The 21,023-nt window shown below is 46.6% G+C and overlaps 1 protein-coding gene across 4 annotated transcripts in view, besides 1 other annotated feature; it reads right to left on the reverse strand.

The window, feature by feature from the left end:
• Positions 1-21,023, reverse strand: part of MYH11 (myosin heavy chain 11) — a 153,894-nt gene that overhangs the window by 130,754 nt on the left and 2,117 nt on the right. For all 4 annotated transcript variants that reach the window (NM_002474.3, NM_022844.3, NM_001040114.2 and 1 more), the window contains exon 2: positions 4,020-4,381. In NM_002474.3, coding sequence (NP_002465.1) covers positions 4,020-4,364 — 345 coding nt within the window. In that variant the 5' untranslated portion in view covers positions 4,365-4,381. The remainder of the gene's footprint in view (positions 1-4,019; positions 4,382-21,023) is intronic.
• Positions 1,364-1,541: a silencer, noted in NCBI's record as "fragment chr16:15929109-15929286 (GRCh37/hg19 assembly coordinates)". NCBI's record gives its function as "represses an EF-1alpha promoter that drives an FKBP-Casp9 reporter gene in an ReSE screen in K562 erythroleukemia cells {active_cell/tissue: K562}" and the evidence as "EXISTENCE:reporter gene assay evidence [ECO:0000049][PMID:32094911]".

Genomic DNA, 21,023 nt, shown 5'->3' on the forward strand with positions numbered 1-21,023 from the left:
GGTTTCTATTAAGCAATTAAACTGACCAGAAAGGAACAAGAGAAGAGCGGGACCATCATCACAAGGCTGAAAGGATTTTAATCTAATCTGTCCAGAGAAGCATAGCAGGAATTTGAAGCTTTGATTCATTTATTTTTAATCTGCTGTCAGAAGATATTTTGGGTCTCAGGACCTTCATATGCCCTTTTTTTTTCTGATTTCTATTTGAGGACAGCAGGTGAGATGAATACACAGGCCTGTCCTGAAACTCCCTAGATGGTGATGATACGTCTTAGATGAAAGACCTGGGCCCCAAAGAGTCCAATTTTCCCTCTAGCTCCCTACAGACGGGCCTCTTTAGAAATATCCAACATACTGGCTGGGCGTGGTGGTTCAGGCCTGTGATCCTAGCACTTTGGGAGGCCGAGGCAAGTGGATCACCTGAGGTCAGGAGTTGGAGACCAGCCTAGCCAACATGGTGAAACCCGTCTCTACTAAAAATACAAAAATCAGCCAGGCATGGTGGCACATCCCTGCAATCCCAGCTACTCGGGAGGCTGAAGCAGGAGAATCACTTCAACCCGGGAGGTGGAGGTTGCAATGAGCCAAGATCGCTCCACTTCACTCCAGCCTGAGCAACAAAAGTGAAATTCCATCTCAAAAAAAAAAAAAAGAAGAAAGAAAGAAAAAGAAAATGTCCACCATACAAACAGCCCCAGATCAATAATTTTTCCATACAAACAGTGCCACAGACAAGAGACTTCCCCTACTTAAGAAAGTAAAGATACATTTTGCAACACTGCACCTCAGCTTCCTTCCCTAAAAGGGGCAAACATTTTTAACTCAGGGGATGCTGTGTTAAATAAAATACAATGTGTCAATGTACAGCACTTGGATTGGAGGACATATTTAATAGTTACGGCCAGGCACAGTGGCTCACACCCGTAATCCCAGCGCCGTGAAAAGTCAAGGCAGGAGATGGCTTGAGGCCAGGAGTTTGAGACCAGCCTGGGCAATATAGTGAGATCCCAGTCTCTACAGAAGTTTTTTTTTTTTTTTTTAATTAGCCAGGTGTGGTGGTGCACACCTGTGGTCCACAGCTACTCAGGAGGCTGAGGTGAGAGGATCGTTTGAATCCAGGACTTGGAAGCTGTACTGAGCTACGATAGAACCACTGCACTCCAGCCTCAAAGACAGAGTAAGCCCCCATCTCAAAAAAAAAAAAAAAAGTTATGAGTTGCTAAGTTGCTCACTCTTACCATTTGGCTCTTTAAAAAGCCACTCTAACTCCTTCTGAAATATCTATAAGAACAGTGGAAAAATGGCCTATCCCCATGACAGATTCTATACTACCCCTTACAAGGGGTATCTTTGGGGCTTCCTGAGATATATTACACAAGTCAACACTGAGCATTTCCAAATGGAAAAAAGAGCAAGTCACTAAACTGTGTGCCCAATAGGCTTTTAAATATGTAAACAGATACCATGCTCACAAAGAGACAAAGAATGCACCGCATCTCTGGTTAAGGACTAATTTTTCTGTTTTGTGTTCACTATGCTTTCTGAACTCTCCAAGTGTTCCATAGTGAACGTGTCTTAGTTTCCTAATTAGGAAAAAAATGTGCAGGACATTTTTAGAGATGACAAGGGGCTTTTTGTAATTTTCATTTGGCAAAATGTACAGACCAGAACCAAAGAGACACAAGGATGCCAAGTGATGGAAGAAGAACATCTTACTAGTAAAATCAAAAGTGATCATGACCACAGCAAAAACCAATCTAGTAACACTTAACATTTTCAGTGCCTGCACTTAACATGTAGCAGGAAGTGTATTAAGTGCTTTCTATTTAGAGTAACCCACTCCATGAAGCTGGTACTATTTTTTTTTTTTTTTTTTTTTGAAACAGACAAGGTCTTGCTCTGTCACCCAGGCTAGAGTGCAGTGGCACAATCATAGCTCACTGCAGCCTTGAACTCCTGGGCTCAAGTGATCCTCCTGCCTCAGCCTCCCTGAGTAGCTGGGATTATGAGTACGCACCACTGCACCTGGCTAATTTATTTTTGCAGAGATGGGGTCTCGTTGTGTTGCCCAGGCTGGTCTCAAACTCCTGGGCTCAAGTGAGCCACCTGCCTCAGTTTCTCAAAGTGCTGGGATTACAGGCATGAGCCACTATGCCCGGCTCCCAAGAGGCTGGCACTATTCTTGCATCCATTTTACAGAAAAGGAAACAAAGCTTCAGAGGCATGAGGTAACCTGCTCGAGGGTGAGCAAGGCCTTTCAGAGAGAAGACATAGACATAGGCCGGGTTGGGTGACCTCTGCACATCAGTCTGGCGACCCGTGCCCCACAACATCACACTCCAAGCCCCAATCATCTAGTCCAAGCAGTCCAACAGAACTTTCTATGATAATGGGAACATTCTGCACTTATGCTACCCAGTACACCAGCCACTAGCCACAGGTGGCTATTGACTACTTGACCTAGGGCCAACACAACAAAAGAAATAAATTTGTTATTTTTTATTGTCTTTTACTTATGTATTTATTTAGAGATGAAGTTTTGCTCTTATTGCCCAAGCTGGAGTACAATAACGCGATTTTGGCTCACTGCAACCTCCATCTCCCAGGTTCAAGCGATTCTCCTGCCTCGGCCTCCCAAGTAGCTGGGATTACAGGCGCACACCATCATGCCCAGCTAATTTTTGTATTTTTAGTAGAGACGGGGTTTTACCATGTTGGCCAGGCTTGTCTAGAACTCCTGACCTCAGGTGATCCACCCACCTTGGCCTCCCAAAGTGCTGGGATTACAGGTGTGAGCCCACGCACCCAGCTAATAAATTTTTTAATGTTTCTTTTTTTTTTTTTTTTTTTTTTGAGATGGAGTTTCGCTCTTATTGCCCAGGCTGGAGTGCAACGGCACCATCTCGGCTCACTGCAACCTCTGCCTCCCGGGTTCAAGCAATTCTCCTGCCTCAGCCTCTCAAGTAGCTGGGATTACAGATGTGCACTACCATGCCTGGCTAATTTTGGCATTTTTAGTAGAGACAGGGTTTCATCACGTTGGCCAGGCTGGTCTCAAACTCCTGACCTCAAGTGATCTACCCGCCTTGGCCTCCCAGCGTGCTGGGATTACAGGCATGAGTCGCCAAACCTGGTCTAATGTTTCTTTTAATTAATTTAAATCTAAATTTAGTTAGCCACGAGTGGCCAGTGGCTACCATATTGTGCCATCTCTAGTCCACTCTGTTCTGCAAGTCTACCTAAAATAGTCCTACGACCAACCTGAACATTCCCCTCTGTGACAAGGAAGGCCTCCCTAAAACCTAGCCACATCCTCATGTCTCCTACCCACCTGGCTGCCAAGACAAACCAGCCTTTCCAAAGTGGTTATGAGCTCTTCTTTACTTTCAAGAGGAAGGAAGGACAGAGAACGATGCCAATGAAATCTGTTGAGAGTTTATCATACGTCTTGGCACTTGGCACATGTGATGACATGGGATTGTCACACCTCCTGTCTGTAATGAGGGTGATTATTCCCATTTTACGGATAGGAAAACCAAGGCTTCGAGAGAGGAAATAACCTCTTCAAGGGCTGAGATGTGAACCCACCTTGGAATGATTCCACCTCATCTTGCAATCTCCCTCGATCAAACCTTCAGCCTCCCATTTCCTTTTTTTTTTTTTTTGAGACAGAGTCTTATTCTGTCACCCAGGCTGGAGTGCAGTGGTACAGTCTTGGCTCACTGCACCTCCACCTCCTGGATTCAAGCAATTCCTCTGCCCCAGCCTCCCCAGTAGCTGGGATTACAGATGCGCACCACCACCCTTGGCTACTTTTTGTATTTTTAGTAGAGACGGCATTTCATCATGTTGGCCAGCGTGGTCTCGAACTTCTGACCTCAGGTGATCTGCCCACCTCGGCCTCCCAAAGTGCTGGGAGTACAGGCATGAGCCACTGTGCCCAGCCCTCCCAACACATTTCTAATGCCTACTTTCCTTATGAGGCCAGGAGTAGGTACCTGGCTGCCTGCAATACTCACATATATTAGCCCTGAGAAGTACCGCTCCCTCAGGTTGTGTAGCACGGAGGCTTCGTTGAGGCACGTCAGCTCCGCCATGTCCTCCACCTTGGAGAACTTGGGTGGGTTCATCTTCTGGATGTCATCTTTCCCAACCGTGACCTTCTTGCCATTCTCCACCAGCTCCACAACCACCTCATCCCCCTTCTCCTCCTTAATGCTGGCTGCCTCGAAGCCCTGCTTCTCCGAGGGGACCCAGACGAGTCTCTTGGCGGCCCAGTCAGCCTGGGCCACTGGGCTGTTGATGAAGTTTTTGTCCACAAAGAGGAACTTCTCATCGTCACTGAGTTGGCCCTTCTGCGCCATGGTGCCTTGTTGGTCCCCTGTGGAATAAGGTAACAGGGTCAGAATCAGACCACAACCAAGCCCGGAAGACAGACCAACCACTCACCTTGCCCTGTCTAGGAACTCGGTCTGCAGAGACATCCCACCAAGTACAAAGACCTGCAGTATTGTGTATGTGGTCAAAGAACAGAGACCACCCAAAGGCCCTTCAGAAAGGGATGTGTGTCATCGCCTAAAATACCAAAAGTCAGACAACCCAAATGTCCACCAACATACAGCTGGATACATAAGCCATGCTATTTCCACACTGTGAAATACTACCCAGTGCTCAGGAGGCAGGAAGTAGGGCTGGACAAGGTGGCTCACACCTGTAAACCCAACACTGTGGGAGGCCGAGGTGGGCAAATCACTTGAGGCCAGGAGTTCAAGACCAGCCTGGCCAACATGGTGAAACCCCGTCTCTACTGAAAATACAAAAATTAGCCAGGTGTGATGGTGTGCACCTGTAATCCCAGCCACTTGGGAGGCTCAGGCAGAATTGCTCAAACCCAGGAGGCAGAGGTTGCAGTGAGCCAAGATAGTGCCACTGCACTCCAGCCTGGGTGACAGAGCCAGACTCCATCTCAAAAAAAAAAAAAAAAAAAGAAGAAGAAGCCGGAAGTAAGTGTACACGTGCTAATATGGGAAGATGGTCAAGTCTAACTGTGCGCTGCAAAATAAGAGTCCTCATACGATTAAACATAGAATTACCCAGATTCCTTGAGCCCAGGAGTTGGAGACCAGCCTAAGCAACATGGCAAAACCTTGTCTCTACAAAAAATACAAAAAATTAGCCAGGCATGGTAGCGCACACCTGTAGTCTCAGCTACTTGGGAGGCTGAGGTGGGAGAATCACCTGAGCCTGGGAGGTCAAGATTGCAGTGAGCCAAGATCAAGCCACTGCACTCCAGCCTGGGTGACAGAGTGAGACTCTGCCTTAAAAACAAACAAACAACCCAAGGTATATAACTGGAAACTCAGTAAAAGGAAAGAAATTATGCAATAAAATAAATGAGTCTCAAAAGCATCATGCTCAGTGAAACAAATCAGAAAGGCCACACGCTCTATTACTCCTTCAATACGAAAAACTATTAGGCTGGTGCAAACGTAAGTGTGGTTATTGAGATAGAAGGTAATGGCGGCCGGGCGCGGTGGCTCACGCCTGTAATCTCAGCACCTTGGGAGGCTGAGGTGAGTGGATCACCTGAGGTCAGGAGTTCAAGACCAGCCTGGGCAACATGGTGAGACCCCTGTCTCTACTAAAAATACAAATATTAATGGAGTGTGGTGGCACACACCTGTAGTCCCAGCTACTCAGGAGGCTGAGGCAAGAGGATTGCTTGAACCCAGGAGGCGGAGGTTGCAGTGAGCTGAGATCGCGCCACTGCACTCCAGCCTCGGCGACAGAGCGAGACTCTGTCTCGAAAAAAAAAAAAAGTAATGGCAAAATAGAAAAGGCATATCTATGGTGACAGGCAATCAAGAGTTGCCAGAGGAGGCCATGCACGGTGGCTCACACCTGTAATCCCAGCACTTTGGGAGGCCAAGGCAGGGGGGATCACTTGAGGTCAGGAGTTTGAAACCAGCCTGCCCAATGTGGTAAAACCCCATCTCTACTAAAAATACAAAAATTAGCCGGGCATGGTGGTGCACACCTGTAATCCCAGTTACTCAAAAAGCTGAGGCAGGAGAATCACTTGAACCTGGGAGGCAGAGGCTGCAGTGAGCCGAGACTGCACCATTGCACTCCAGCCTGAGTGACAGAGTGAGACGCTGTCTCAAAAAAATTAAAAAAAAGAGTTGCCAGTGGCAAGGAAAGGAATGGATTAGTAAGAGGCACAGAAGAGGTACATAAGAGGTAAGAGGCACCACCTTTCGGGGTGATAAAAGTATTCCCTGTGGTCATGGTGGTGCTTACAAGACTGTATACATTTGTCAAAACTCATTAAGAATGTTCTATCCACTATAGGATGAGTAAAGTGAACAATAAAATATTACATCGTTTCCAAGAGCTAGAAGAAGGACATTGAATGTTCCCAACACAAAGAGATGATAAATGTCATTATATAGGAAGTAGCAAAATAAAAGTAATGGCAAATGCTTGAGATGATGGATATGCTAATTATCCTGATCTTATCTCCCCACACATTATATGTATTAATATCAAAACATTACTAAGAGCTGGACTCAGTGGCTCACACCTGTAATCCCAGCACTGTGGGAAGCTGAGACAGGAGGATCCCTTGAGGCCAGGAGTTCAAGACCAACCTGGGCAACATAAGAAGCCCCTGTCTCTGTAAAAAAATTAAAAATTAGCCTGGCACGGTGGTGCATGCCTACGGTTCCAGCTACTCAGGAGGCTAAGACGGGAAGATGGCTAGAGCCCAGGAGGTCAAGGCTGCAGTGAGTTGTAATCATGCCACTGCACTCCAGCCTGGGCCACAGAGCGAGACCCTGTCTCAAAACCATCCAACCAAACAACTAAAAAAATCATTATGGACCCCATGAACATGTATGATTATTTGTCAATTAAGAAATAAATTTTTTAAGTTGAAAAAACTCACTCAAGCTGTACACTTAAAAAAACTTGAATTTGTTTTAAATCGGTGAGTTTTACTTTATATAGATTATACCTCAATAAAGCTGATTAAAATATTTGTCATAAAGTATTTGTCTTCATTTTATATGTTTGTGTGTACATTTCTAAAAGTCTAGAAAACTGCATACCAAAATATTATACTAGGGTTCTATCTGGTCAAATACGAGACAGTGTGAATATCAATAAGAAAAATAATTATATGTCCATCACCCTAACACCCCAAAAAGGGTGGAAAGACAAATATATTTAAATGCATTTGTTCAAAATGATTTTTGTTGTTGTTGTTTGAGATGGAGTCTTGCTCTGTTGTCTATGCTGGAGGGCAGTGGTGCAATCTTGGCTCACTGCAACCTCTGCCTCTGGGTTCAAGCGATTCTCCTGCCTTAGCTTCCCGAGTAACTAGGATTACAGGCGTGCACCATCACACCCAGCTAATTTTTGTATTTTTAGTAGAGACGGGGCTTCGCCAAGTTGGCCAGGCTGGTCTCAAACTCCTGACCTCAAGTGATCCACCAGCCTCGGGCTCTCAAAGTGAAGGGATTACAGGCATGAGCCACTGTGCCCAGCCCCAAATGCATTATTTTTTAAATGGGTACAGAAAGTGGGGTGGAAATGTGAAAATCTTGATTCTGCGTTTTCTATACAAATTGTTCCTTAGGGTAACTAAATTAAGAAGGGGAAGTCTCTCTTGATGGAAGATTAGGTCATTAAATGTCCTGTCTACATGGGAAGCCCATGGATGGTAGATTCACGTTATCTGTCGTTATCCAGATGTGTTTATGAGGAGAGGGACAGAGACAACACACTCTATAGGCCTGTCCGGCCCCCCGTTCCTGACTCTCTGACCATAGCTGCAGGGGCTGTCCTGGAAACACTGGCTTACAGCCCCTTCTACCTCTTGCTGCTGGGCTCCAAAGAACTGAGTTGCTGGCTAAGTGAGGACATATGGCCACCAGGATCTATGCGTGGTTGACATCCCTCCTTCAGCAGGGAATTCACAACTCCTTTGAATTCACTGATAATCCCCACGCTTGGGCCCCAAATCCCACAGCGACAGAATAAAGACCCATGTCCCACTCCTGGATCCCTAGAGCTGAGCAGCCAACTCCTGAAACCCAACCTTTTGGGTGATGCAGATTTTGCAAGACAGAATGGGAGTGGCAGATATTCCAATACCTATTTTTTTCCTTTCAGGGCTGAAAATAATAATTAAAAAACTAATTTTAAGAACCTGCTGCTGGGTGCAGTGGCTCATGCCTGTAATCCCAGCACTTTGGGAGGCCAAGGCCGGTGGAACACCTGAGGTCAGGAGTTCGAGACCAGCCTGGCCAACATGTGAAACCCCATCTCTACTAAAAATACGAAAAGTTGCTGGGCGTGGTAGCATGCGCCTACAATCCCAGCTACTCGGGAGGCTGAGGCAGGAGAATCACTTGAACCCGGGAGGTGGAGGTTGCAGTGAGCCAAGATTGTGCCTCTCACCGCACTCCAGCCTGGGCAGTAAGAGCGAAACTCAGTCTCAAAAAAACGAAAAACAAACCTGGAAGTTGATTTGCTCAGAGATTTTCTGCTGGGAGACCTGATATCGTAGCTGATGAAAAAAAAGTGGCGGCTAGGTGCGGTGGCTCACACCTGTAATCCTAGCACTTTGTTGGGGCTGAGGTAGGAGGATTGCTTGAGGTCCGGAGTTCAAGACCAGCTGGCCAACGTGGCGAAACCTGATCTCTACTAAAAACACAAAAATATTAGCTGGGCTTGGTGGCAGGCACCTGTAATCCTAGCTACTCGGGAGGCTGAGGCACGAGAATTGCTTGAACCCAGGAAGCAGAGGTTGCAGTGAGCTGAGATGGTGCCACTGCACTCTGGCCCAGGCAACAGAGCAAGACTTCATCCAAAAAAAAAAAAAAAAAAAAAAAAAAAAGGGCAGAGAAATGAGGAAATCCCATCTAAATCTGAATAATCACTTCAGATATCCAGAAAGAGAAATAAAGATCTGGTAGACAACATGTATTGTCCTAAGTTTAACAATCCTCCTTTCTGCATTTTAAAATTGTTATTGAATTTGGCTTAGCTCATAGTAAGACCAACAGTGTCCTGCCCCTGACTCCAGTTACCCTATCTTAAAAAAGACTCCCTTCTACATGGAAGAATTCCAGCGAATACATGCAGAACAATAAAACTAGGATGTAACTGTTTATAAAGCTAATAGTGGGTCTCAAGCTGGGCACGGTGGTTCACACCTGTAATCCCAGCACTTTGAGAGGCCCAGGTGGGCGGACCACCTGAGGTCAAGAGTTTGAGGCCAGCCTGGTCAACATGGGAAAACCCTGTCTCTACTAAAAAATACAAAAATTAGCTGGGCATAGTGGCATGTGCCTGTAATTCCAGCTACTCAGGAGGCTGAGGCAGGAGAATTACTTGAACTCCAAAGGTGGAGGTTGCAATGAGCCGAGATCATGCCACTGTACTCCAGCCTGGACAACAGAGCAAGACTTTGCCAAGGAAGGAAGGAAGGAAAGAAAGAAGAAAGGAAGGAAGAGGCCGGGCACAGTGGCTCACACCTGTAATCCCAGCACTTTGGGAGGCTGAGGCGGGCAGATCACGAAGTCAAGAGATCGAGACCATCCTGGCTAACACGGCAAAACCCTGTCTCTACTAAAAAAAAAAAAAAAAATTAGCCGGGCGTGGTGGCGGCCGCGTGTAGTCCCAGCTACTCTGGAGGCTGAGGCAGGAGAATGGTGTGAACCTGGGAGGCGGAGCTTGCAGTGAGTGGGTGAGTGGAGATGCGCCGCTGCACTCCAGCCTGGACGACAGAGTGAGACTCCGTCTCAAAAAAAAAAAAAGAAAGAAAGGAAGAAAGAAAGGGTCTTGGCAAGTTGGCAAGTTCTACCAGTAATTGCTAAAACCATTAGGCCAATGGGGCTCACATTTCCTGGTGCATTAGCTTCTGAGTCAGTAGGACTGGGATGGGGCCCAAGAATATGCATTCCTAACCAGCTTCCGGGTGATGATGATGATGCTGGTCTAGGGTCCCCACCACAAGACTGACTATATCAGATGAAGAGCTCTTGTGGAATTTTTAAGGGATGGGTCCGCCTGCCATCACCTAAATCTACTAATTAACCCTAACATCACAAAAAGAGAGAGCTGACTAGACATTATAAACATTACATGCCTGCAGATGGGCCACTACAGGAAGTGCCGTTACCACTAATGACATATTCTTGCTCAAAAGAAAAGGGGATGGAGATGGGGGATGAAGGTGATGAAGCCTCCAGATCTGACGCCTGTCTATGGAAAATGCAAGGCACAGGAGAGCATGCTAAACAATGCAGTAAACTCCCAAAGGTGAGAGACTATGCTCTGTCGCCCAGCTAGAGTGCAATGGCGGGATCTTGGCTCACTGCAACCTCCACCTCCTAGGTTCAAGTGATTCTCCTGCCTCAGCCTCCCGAGGAGCTAGGATTACAGGTGCATGCCACCACGCCTGGCTGATTTTTGTATTTTTAGTAGAGACGGGGTTTCACCATATTGTCCAGGCTGGTCTCAAACTCCTGACCTCAGGTGATCTACCGGCCTTGGCCTCTCAAAGTGCTGACATTACAGGTGTGAGCCACCACGCTCGGCCAGTACTCTCTTTCTTTAACAAATAAAATACAAACAAAAAGGAGGGGAACCCATAGATTAAAAAATAATTGAAAGAAAAGAGGCTGGCAGTAGCCCACATGTATAATCCCATATTTTGGGAGGCCAAGGCAGGAGGATTGCTTGAGCCCAGGAGTTCGAGACCAGACTGGGCATTATAGCAAGACCCCATCCCTTAAAAAAAATATCAGCCAGGCATGATGATGCGTGCTTGTAGTCCCAGCTACTAGGAGGCTGAGGCAGGAGGGTTGCTTGAGCCCAGGAGTTTGAGGCTGCAGTGAGCTATGATTACATCACTGCACTCCAGCCTGGGTGTCAGGGTGAGACCCTGTCTCAAAAAAGAGAAAGCCACAGAGAACGAGAACATTTCATAAATATAGGGCATTTTCATTAGCCTAAAAGATCTTTCTGAGCCTAAATAAAGTACAAGTTCATTGGTGCTGGCAACATTTGATTGGTTGCCTCCTCTTGAGAGGTAAGATAACCTGTAGTCATGTAAAGACACCCAGACTTTGCAATCAGATGCTAATTCAAACGTGACTCTGCCACTGCAGAATGCGTGCTTCTGGGTGACTTACGTAGATCTGAGACTCAGATTTACTGTATATTAATACTGGGGACCTAACGGGTGCCCTGCAGAGCTGCCATGAAGTTTAGATGAAACTCTCTACACCAAGCTTGTCTAACCTGCAGCCCACAGGCTGCATGGGGCCCAGGACGGCTTTGAATGTGGCCCGATACAAATTCATAAACTTTCTTAAAACAGTATGATATTTTTTCGCGATTTTTTTTTTTTTTTTTAGCTCATCAGCTATCATTAGTGCTAGTGTATTTTACGTGTGGCCCAAGACAATTCTTCTTTTTCTGGGGTGGCCCAGGGAAGCCAAAAGATAGGACACCCCTGATCTACACCAAGTACCTTCTGTTTCTATACCCTTTCTCACTTCCGGTGACTCTAAGCCACTTCGCTCATTCCTAACCAATAGCATTTACTACTGTTGGATGTTTTAATTATGTTTATTTCTGGACAGCCATAGTCACAGAAGTGGCTTGATACGACGCGTCTTCTTTTAATAGTATAACCAAGGTTAGTTTAAACAGGCAGCAAAATAGGAAATGCGGCAAAATATTCAATCATTCCCTGATAATCTCTTGTTTCTTAAGGTGTCGCAGCAGATCGTGTGTGTGTGTGTGAGAGAGAGAGAGAGAAAAAGAAGGAGAGAGAGAGAGAGAAACTGGAGGATGCGTAAGAGAAATGGGAGGGTGTGAAGATGAAGTAAGATTGATCACAAGTAGGCCGAGTGTGATGGCTCATGCCTATAATCCCAGAACTTTGGGAGGCTGAGGTGGGAGGATAACTTGAGGTCAGGAGTTTGAGACCAGCTTGGCCAACATTGTGAAACCCTGTCTCTACTAAAAATACAAAAATTAAAAATTAGCCAGGATTGGTGGTACGTGCCTGTAGCCCCAGCTACTTGGGAGGCTGAGTCAGGAGAATCACTTGAACCCGGGAGGTGGAGGTTGCCGTAAGCCGACATCATACCACTACACTCCAGCCTTGGCGACAGAGTCAGCCTCCATCTCAAAAAAAAAGAAGTGTCAGAGCTGGGACCCAAACCTGGGTCTCATTCTGGAGTCTATTTGGTTCTGCCTTTCACATAAGGTGGGTGGGCTTGTCAGATGCCCATAAAGGAATCAATCCTGTAAGGCACCTGGCACAGTACCTGACACATTACAAACACCCAAAATAGGACTCGAATCAGGTGAAGTAAACTACAGCTCCACACCACAAAAAAGGACATCTCACAACACATCCTTGAGCAAAAGAAGGTGGTCACAAAAAGCACAGGTTCTGTGACTATTGAACTGAGGTCCAAAACCAGGCAGAATTAATCTACGGTGATAGAACTCAGATAAGGAATGAATGAGTCTCCGGTGTGCAATGATTGCAAGGACAGAACGTGAGGGGGGCTTGTGAGGGTTGACCTCTAGATCTTCATCTGAATGCCAGCCCTATGAGTGTTCACTTTCTGAAAATTCATCAAACTGTTGGGCCAGGTGACATGGCTCACGCCTGTAATCCCAGCACTTTGAGAAGCCAAGATGGGAGGACCACTTGAGCCCAGGAGTTTGAGACCAGCCTGGCCAACACAGCAAGACCCATCTCTAAGAAAAAATGTTTTTTAATTACCTGTGTGGAAGACTGAGGTAGGAGGATAACCTGAGCCCAGGAGGCTGAGACCGGCCTGGTCAACATGGTGAAACCTTGTCTCTAGCAAACATACAAAAATTAACCGGTTGTGATAGTGTGCACCTGCAGTCCCAGCTACTCAGGAGGCTGAGGTGGGAGGATCACTTAAGCTCAGGAGGTCGGGGATGCAGTGAGCCATGATCATGCCACTGCACTGCAGCCTGGGTGACAGAGTGAGACCCCCATCTATAAAAAATATATCCTCTTGAAAATTCATCAAGCTGCACACTTTTTTGCACATCAAGCGTACTTTTTTGGTTGTAAAGTACACTTCATTTTCCTTCCCTCTTATCTTTAATTGTGGTAAAATACAGCTAACATTCACCACCTCGGCCACTTAAACACAGTTCAGTAGCATTAAGTATATTGATATTCTTGTGCAATAATGAAGAGTTTGTGCAGATGGTAGCCAATTACATCCCAAGAGGGCTAGGAGAGTGTTTCATTTGTTCTAAGCACTATGACAAGTAAAGTGGACTTCTTTTTTTTTTTTTTTTTTTTCTGAGACAGGGTCTTGCTCTGTCGCCCAGGCTGGAGTGCAGTGGCATGACCTCAGCTCACGGCAACCTCCGCCTCCCAGGCTCAAGTGATCCTCCCACCCCAGCCTCCCAAATAGTTGGGACCACAGGCACCTGCCACCATGCCCAGCTATTTTCCTGTATTCTTTGTAGAGACGGGGTTTCACCATGTTGTCCAGGCTGAGGTCTTGAACTCCTGACCTCAAGTGATCTGCCTGCCTCGGTCTCCCAAAGTGCTGGGATTACAGGCATGAGCCGCTGTGCCCAGCCCTAAGTGGGCTCTTCCTAATTGCCATGTGGATGAGTTGCCTTAAAAGTCAGAAAAAATAGCAAAAGCTACAACAGAAAAATAAAAGGACACGCACGCCTCCATTGCCTGGGACCCTGTCTAACCTCAGACTTAAAAACACAAACAAGATCAAGTGCAAAGATTCAGTCTCTGTACAAAAAAGGAGAGCTTGGAGCAGGCTGGATTCCCTCTGGCTTTGATGTCTCTGACAGTTACGACGTGCAAAATCTGCTTTGGTCAAAAGACAGCAAGATGGGGGATGAGAAGCTTCGACTCATGCTAGAATGGTGTTTTCCATAGCATGCCCCTTGGAACCCTAATTCCCTGAAATATCTGGGCTGGGGTGGAGCTGCGGAGGTTGAGAAGCTCTTCAAACAGTGGCGCAGTCAAGGTCAAATCCATCTGGAAGGTGCTACATATTCCCCTTTCCCTCATTGAGACACAAAACACACAACAGGACACTTGAGTCTCTGGCAGATCCGGAAACCTGAAAGCTGTTTTGCTCCTACGAGCCTTGGGTCCCCAAAACAACATTTAGCCACAGATTTGCCAAATGTTTTGAGAATGTTTTCCTAAAAATTTGCCAAATTTTTGAGAAAATTCAGTGAGCCTGACAAATTAATAATACTAATACTAGTAATAATAGTTGCTAAGTCTTTTTTTTTTTTTTTTTTTTTTGACACAGAGTCTCGCTCTGTTACCCAGGCTGGAGTGCAGTGACGCAATCTCAGCTCACTGCAACCTCCACGTTTCTGGGTTCAAGTGATTCTCGTGCCTCAGCCTCCCAAGTAGCTGGGACTACAGGCATGCGCTACCATGCCTGGCTAATTTTTGTATTTTTAGTAGAGATGAGGTTTCACCATATTGGCCAGGCTGGTCTTGAACTCCAGGCCTCAAGCAATCCTCCCACCTTGGCCCCCCAAAGTGCTGGGATTACAGGCGTGAGCCACCGCAGCTGGCCACAAACTCTGCACTGTGACTCTTGGGCTGCGTCATTCTGTGTCGTGAGGGGAGCTCTTCCGTGCATTGTGGGATGTTCCGCAGCATCCCTGGTCTCTGCCCACCTGATGCCAGTAGCACCCCTTCCTCCACTCATGACAATCAAAAATGTCTCCAGACACTGCTAGATGTCCCCTGGGGTGGCAAAACTGCTTCCAGTTGAGAACCACAGCTTTAGAATAAAAACAAGGGCTGTCTTGGGAAAGGCAGTTAAAGCTGAGAGCAGCTCTCACTTAGTCAAACTCAACTCGGAATACCAACTGCAGAAGATCAGACGGGGGCAAGGTGAACACACTGGACCAGAGACGGACCGCCAGTTGGCCCAACCCCAGGGACACTCTTCATCTACCTTGATGCACCTTCCCAACCCTCCCTCCTCCACCATCGCTCATGTTTAAGGTCCTGCATCAGCTCCAAGGGCTGAAAGGACATCTCTGAAATTACTACCCAGAACTGCTGACCACGAAGTACAGTTCACTCATCAAGAGCTGCTCTCAATGTTTTTGGTTGGGGGAAGGGTCTCACTATATGCCCAGGGTGGAGTGCAGTGGTGCAATCATAGCTTACTGCAGGCTCAAACTCATGGGCTCAAGGGATCCTCCCACCTCAGGTGTGGGCCACTATGCCCGGCTTATTTTTTGTAGAGATGGGGGTCTTGCTATTTTGCCTAGGCTGGTCTCAAACTCCTGATCTCAAATGATCCTCCTGCCTTGGCTTCCCAAAGCTCTAGGATGACAGGCGTGAGTCACCTCGTCCAACTTTCTCGAATGTTTGGATGAAAACAAATGACTCTGTCACCTTTGGCATTAGCGATGTTTGACACATCTGAGTGTGTCAGCCTTGTTTACAGTCCTGTCCTGACCAACAACTGCTTCATTCTTTTTTTTTGAGACAGGGTCTGGCTCTGTTGCCCAGGCTAGAGTGAAGTGGCGCGATCTCTGCTTTCTGCAAACTCTGCCTCCCAGGCTCAAGCCATTCTCCCACCTCAGCCTCCCAAGTAGCTGGGATCACAGGCACGCACCAGAACACCCAGCTAATTTTTTAATTCTTGCATTTTTTTGTAGAGACAGGGGTCTCACTTTGTGGCCCAGGCTGGTCTCAAACTCCTGAGCTCAAGCGATCTGCCTGCCTCAGCCTCCCAAAGTGCTAGGATTACAAGCATGAGCCACCGCGCCCAGGCTGCTTCATTTTTTGAGCACAAACAAGCTAATCATTAGCCTCTGGAAGACCTTAGGATGTCAAGTAACGAGTCTCAGCTTTGCCCCAAACCTGCTGGGTGACTCTGGACAAGTCACTTGCCCTCTCTGGGCCTTGTATTTTTCATTTAGGGAAAATAAATCAATGGTAGGCTGGCCCAGCTCTACCATTTTATGGGACCCGTCTGTGACTCCCAGTCAAAGGGCTGAAACTGGACCAACTGAGAATGTCAGGTTGCTTTAGTTTGTTTTACCATCAGTTTCATTTTTCCCAGAAGAACTCAGGGGCAAAAGATCTTGCCCTCTCTGCTTCAGCATTAATAAAAAGTAAATTAGGCCGGGCATGGTGGCTGATGCCTGTAATCCCAGTACTTCGGGAGGCCGAGGCAGGCGGATAACCTGAGGTCAGTAGTTCAAGACCAGCCTGGCCAACATGGTGAAACCCCGTCTCTACTAAAAATACAAAAAATAGCCAGGTGTGGTGGTGGGCGCCTGTAATACCAGCTACTCAGGAGGCTGAGGAAGGAGAATCGCTTGAACCCAGGAGGTGGAGGGTGCAGTGAGCTGAGATCCCATCACTGCACTCCAGCCTGGGCGACAAGAGCAAAACTCTGTCTTGAAAATAAATAAATAAATAGTAAATTAAATATCCCAGAGCCCAGAGAGTATAGGATTTGCACATCACCTCACCTGGTCAACAGCTTCCCTCAGGATTTTACTGCCAAGCCATTGGCTAAAGATTTTGGACCAGAGACAAAAACCCAAATGTTTTTGGAGATCAGGTAAGTAATACAGAGTGACCCAGACCAGATGTTAGAGTATTGCTTATATTCTAAATACCATGCAGGGTTCAGCACTGTGGCTCACGTCTGTAATCCCAACACTGGGAGGCCAAGGCAGGCAGTTCGCTTGAGCTTAGGAGTTTGACACCAGCCTGCGCAACATGGTGAAACCCCATCTCTACAGAAAATACAAAAATTAGCCAGGCATGGCAGCACATGCCGGTAGTCCCAGCTACTCGGGAGGCTGAGGTGGGAAGATCGCTTGAGCCTGGGAGGTAGAGGTTGCAGTGAGCCAAGATCATGCCACTGCACTCTAGCCTGGGTGACAGAGTGAGACTCCATCTCAAAAAGAAAAAAAAGAAAAAAGAAAAATTGCTCATATTCTAAATGTCATAAAGGGCTGGATACAGTGGTTCACACCTGTAATCCAAGAACTATGGGAGGCCAAGCCAAGAGGATTGCTTGAATTAGGAGCTCTAGACTAGCCTGGGCAGCACAGTGAGATCCCATCTCTATTTCAAATAAACGAATGAATGAATGCCACACAGGCAAAACAGAAGTTCTCTGAACCTGATCTGCAACACAATTCGCCAGCTGGAAGGACCTCTGCAGTGGAAATCCTCGCTCAAGGCCTGGTCCAGGTGTAGGGAGGCATCAAATGTGTCGCAGGGAGAGGCACTGGGCACTCTAAATGCACCTGCTTGGCAGGTCCCCAGTAGTACCAAAAAGGCAGTTTAGATCTATTATTCATAACAGCCACTGTATTTATTGGGCCCCTTGTATTCATCAGGTATCAGGCCAGACAGCTTCCTATATAGACCATCTCACTGTCTCCTAAGCGCTCTGTAAGGTGGCATCACCTGCTATTGCTATTTTCCTGCTAAGATGACCGAGGTCCTGGAAGGTAAATGCAAGACCCCCACTTGTAAAATTTGGAGTCAGGAGTACAATCCAGAATCTAATCCTAGTTTTCTGCTAAGAGTAAATGGACACCCGATTAATTCTTAGCAGAAAGTCCCTTTCTTGCCCCTGACCCTACTCCACCATTTCTACCCTCCCCTCACCATTCACATCCCCCCACCTCCCAAGGGCTTGTTCCCAAGAAAGCCCTACTTCACTTTTACAGGAAAAAAAGTGAATGGTGAACCTGTCACATTCTTATTGCCTTGTGACATCTGCCTAATCATCTGAATACCAATGGTTTCAAGTAACTCCAGAAAGAAGTTCTCTTAATGCATAACACTATTTTTTCCTCCCAACCAAGAGAACTTGGTTGGCAAGAGTTACGGTAGCCCCTGTGAAGGATGCTTCTGGAAGCGAGCAAGAACTGATTATTTCTGGCCCTAAAAGCCCCACTGTGTTTTATATTTTACAATTCTGGCATACCACAGCTTAAAATAAATGTATAGTCTCCTATGTCAGGGGTCCCCAACCCTTGTGCTGCAGTATCAGTCAATGGCCTGTTAGGAACCAGGCCACATAGCAGGAGGGGACGGTGGGTGAGTGACCATCACTGCCTAAGCTCCGCCTCCTGTCAGATAAGCAGCATTAGATTTTCACAGAAGCACAAACCCTATTGCCAACTCCACCTGCAAGGGATCTAGGTTGTACGTTCCTTATGAGAATCTAACCAATGCCTGATGATGAGGTGGGACAGTTTCATCCCAAAACCATCCTCCCCACTCCACCCTGGAAAATATTGTCTTCCACGAAACCAGTCTCTGGTGCCAAGAGGATGGGGACTGCTGTCATATGTGACTGCAACAAGTTGCAATTTGCAATGCCTTTTTTTTTTTTTTTTTGAGACCGAGTCTCACTCTTTGCCCAGGCTGGAGTGCAGTGGTGTGATCTCGGCTCAATGCAACCTCTGCCTCTGAGGCTCAAGCGATTCTCGTGCCTCAGCCTCCCGAGTAGCTGGGATTACAGGTGCCCACGACCATGCCCAGATAATTTTTGTATTTTTAGTAGAGATAGGGTTTAGCAGAGACCATGTTGGCCAGGCTGGTCTTGAACTCCTGACCTCAGGTGACCCACCTGCTGCGGCCTCCCAAAGTGCTGGGATTACAGGCGTGAGCCACTGCACCTGGTCTGCAATGTCTTTAGCCAGTCATTTGCAATATCTATTAATTTTAGATACGCATGCCCTTTAACTCAGCAAGCGCATTTCTGGGAATTTATCCTACAGATAAATTCATATAATTAGACAAAAAGTCCAAGGATGAAAGAGTGGCATTATCTATTATTCCCATTTTCCTGCTAAGCCTATCGGGGTCTTGAAAGGTAAATGCAAGGCCCTCCCTTGCAAAAGTTGGGGAACCAGGATTAGAATCCCGATCTGTTTGAAGCCTAATTTACTCAGAGATGGCATTAGCGATGTTTGACACATCTGAATATGTCAGCCCTATTCACAGTCCTGTCCTAACAACTCACTGCTTCATCCCTTGAGCACAAACAAGCTATTCATTAGCCTGTGGAAGATCCTTAGGTCTTCGAGTTACAAGTCTCAGCTCTGCCCAAAACTCGCTGGGTGATGCTAGGCAAGTCACTTGCCCTCTCTGGGCCTTGTATTTTTCAGCCTGGTACAGTAAAGTTCTATGCCCCTCACCTTTTTTTTGAGACAGAGTCTCACTCTGTTGCCCAGGCTAGAGAACAGTGATGCAATCAGGGCCCACGGCAGCCTTGAACTCCTGGGCTCAAGCAATCCTCCTGCCTCACTCAACCTCCTGAATAACTAGGACTACAGATGCATGCCACCATGCCCAGCTCATTTTAAAAATTTTTTTGTAGAGATGGTGCCTCGCTATGTTGCCCACTCTGGTCTCAAACTCCTGACTTCAAGCCATCCCCCCACCTCAGCCTCCCAAATTGCTGGGATTACAGGTATGACCTGCCATACCTGGCCTCTATGGCCCTTTCCTAGCAACTTTGATGAGGTTGTTCCTCCTTAGCCCCTGAAACCCTGATACAAGTCACAGATGTCCGACCTCCCCTTTCAGCCACTGTGAGCAGCTTCTTCCTCTGTCCTTGGATCACATACAAGGTTTCTTTCAAATTCTTGCCTGCCTTTCTCTAAATTCAGTCTTTCCTCCATTGTGTGGCCAGGGTTAAAAGTTGAAAGGTCAGGAGTGGAAGGAGAAGACCTAGAGAGCAAAAAGGCCATCCCTTAAAGTATGCCATCAAGACCCTAAATAAGCCAGGCGCGGTGGCTCACGCCTGTAATCTGAGCACTTTGGGAGACCAAGCCAGGCGAATCACTTGAGGTCAGCGGTTCGAGACCAGCCTGGCCAATATGGTGAAACCCCATCTCTACTAAAAATACAAAAAATTAGCCAGGCATGGTGGTGGGCGCCTATAAACCCAGCTACTCTCTACTCAGGAGGCTGAGGCTGGAGAAGTGCCTGAACCTAGGAGGCGGAGGTTGCAGTGAGCCAAGATCGCACCACTGCACTCCAGCCTGGGCGACAGAGCAAGACTCTGTCTCAAAAACAAACAAACAAAACCCTAAACAAATGTAATTGGAATTTGTAACATTCCCAATCCAGGTAAGGAATGGTAGCTTAATATATTAAAGATTCTAATCACCACTTTCAGCCCAAATAGAAACGAGGTTTATGAGATCAAAGGGAAGAAAATTAAGAGAAGCTTCTCCTTTAACGGCCACATAGTTTAGGCTTCCCGGTTCTGCCAAAGATGAGCCATGCCATACTGAGCAAACATCTTGAACTCTCTGGTTGTGTTTGCTATAAATAACCATCACTGAAGCTTACCAGGGGCCAGGCACTGTGCTAAACCCTTCATACACATTAGCTCATCAAATCCTCCCATGAGGGTAATCTGTGAAACTCTGGAGTTAGAAAGACCTAGATTTGTAGAATCTTCTTTTCCTTACTGGTTAGCTGAGCTATCTTAAGCAAGTTATTCAGACTCCATATGTGTAAAATAAAGCCAGTTAGAATAACAGTATCTACTCTAAAGGGTTGTTATGAAGACGTAAGATAATGTCCACAAAGCGTTTAGCATCTCGCCAGGCAAAAGTGCCCAAAAAACATGAGTTATTCTCATTAGCCCCATTTCCCGGATGAGAAAGTGAGGTTTGGGGAGGTGCGGGAGATGATTTTTAAATTTGCTTATGGCCTTCTATGATTCTACTGGATTGAATATTGAACTTGGTTTTCAAGAAAAATCTACTATATATCTGCTCTTGGAATTACACGCTTGTGCCTAACGTGGAAGACCCACCTGTTTGGATTCAAGACCTGTGGAAAGGAGACAATTCCCTCCCACCCCCCACCCAAAAAAATCAAACCTCTGAATAAGAGGGGGTAGGAAAAAAGAATCCCACTTTCCTCCCAAATCTCTTCT

Source organism: Homo sapiens, chromosome 16 (assembly GCF_000001405.40).
Source record: "Homo sapiens chromosome 16, GRCh38.p14 Primary Assembly".
Taxonomy (NCBI): domain Eukaryota; kingdom Metazoa; phylum Chordata; class Mammalia; order Primates; family Hominidae; genus Homo; species Homo sapiens.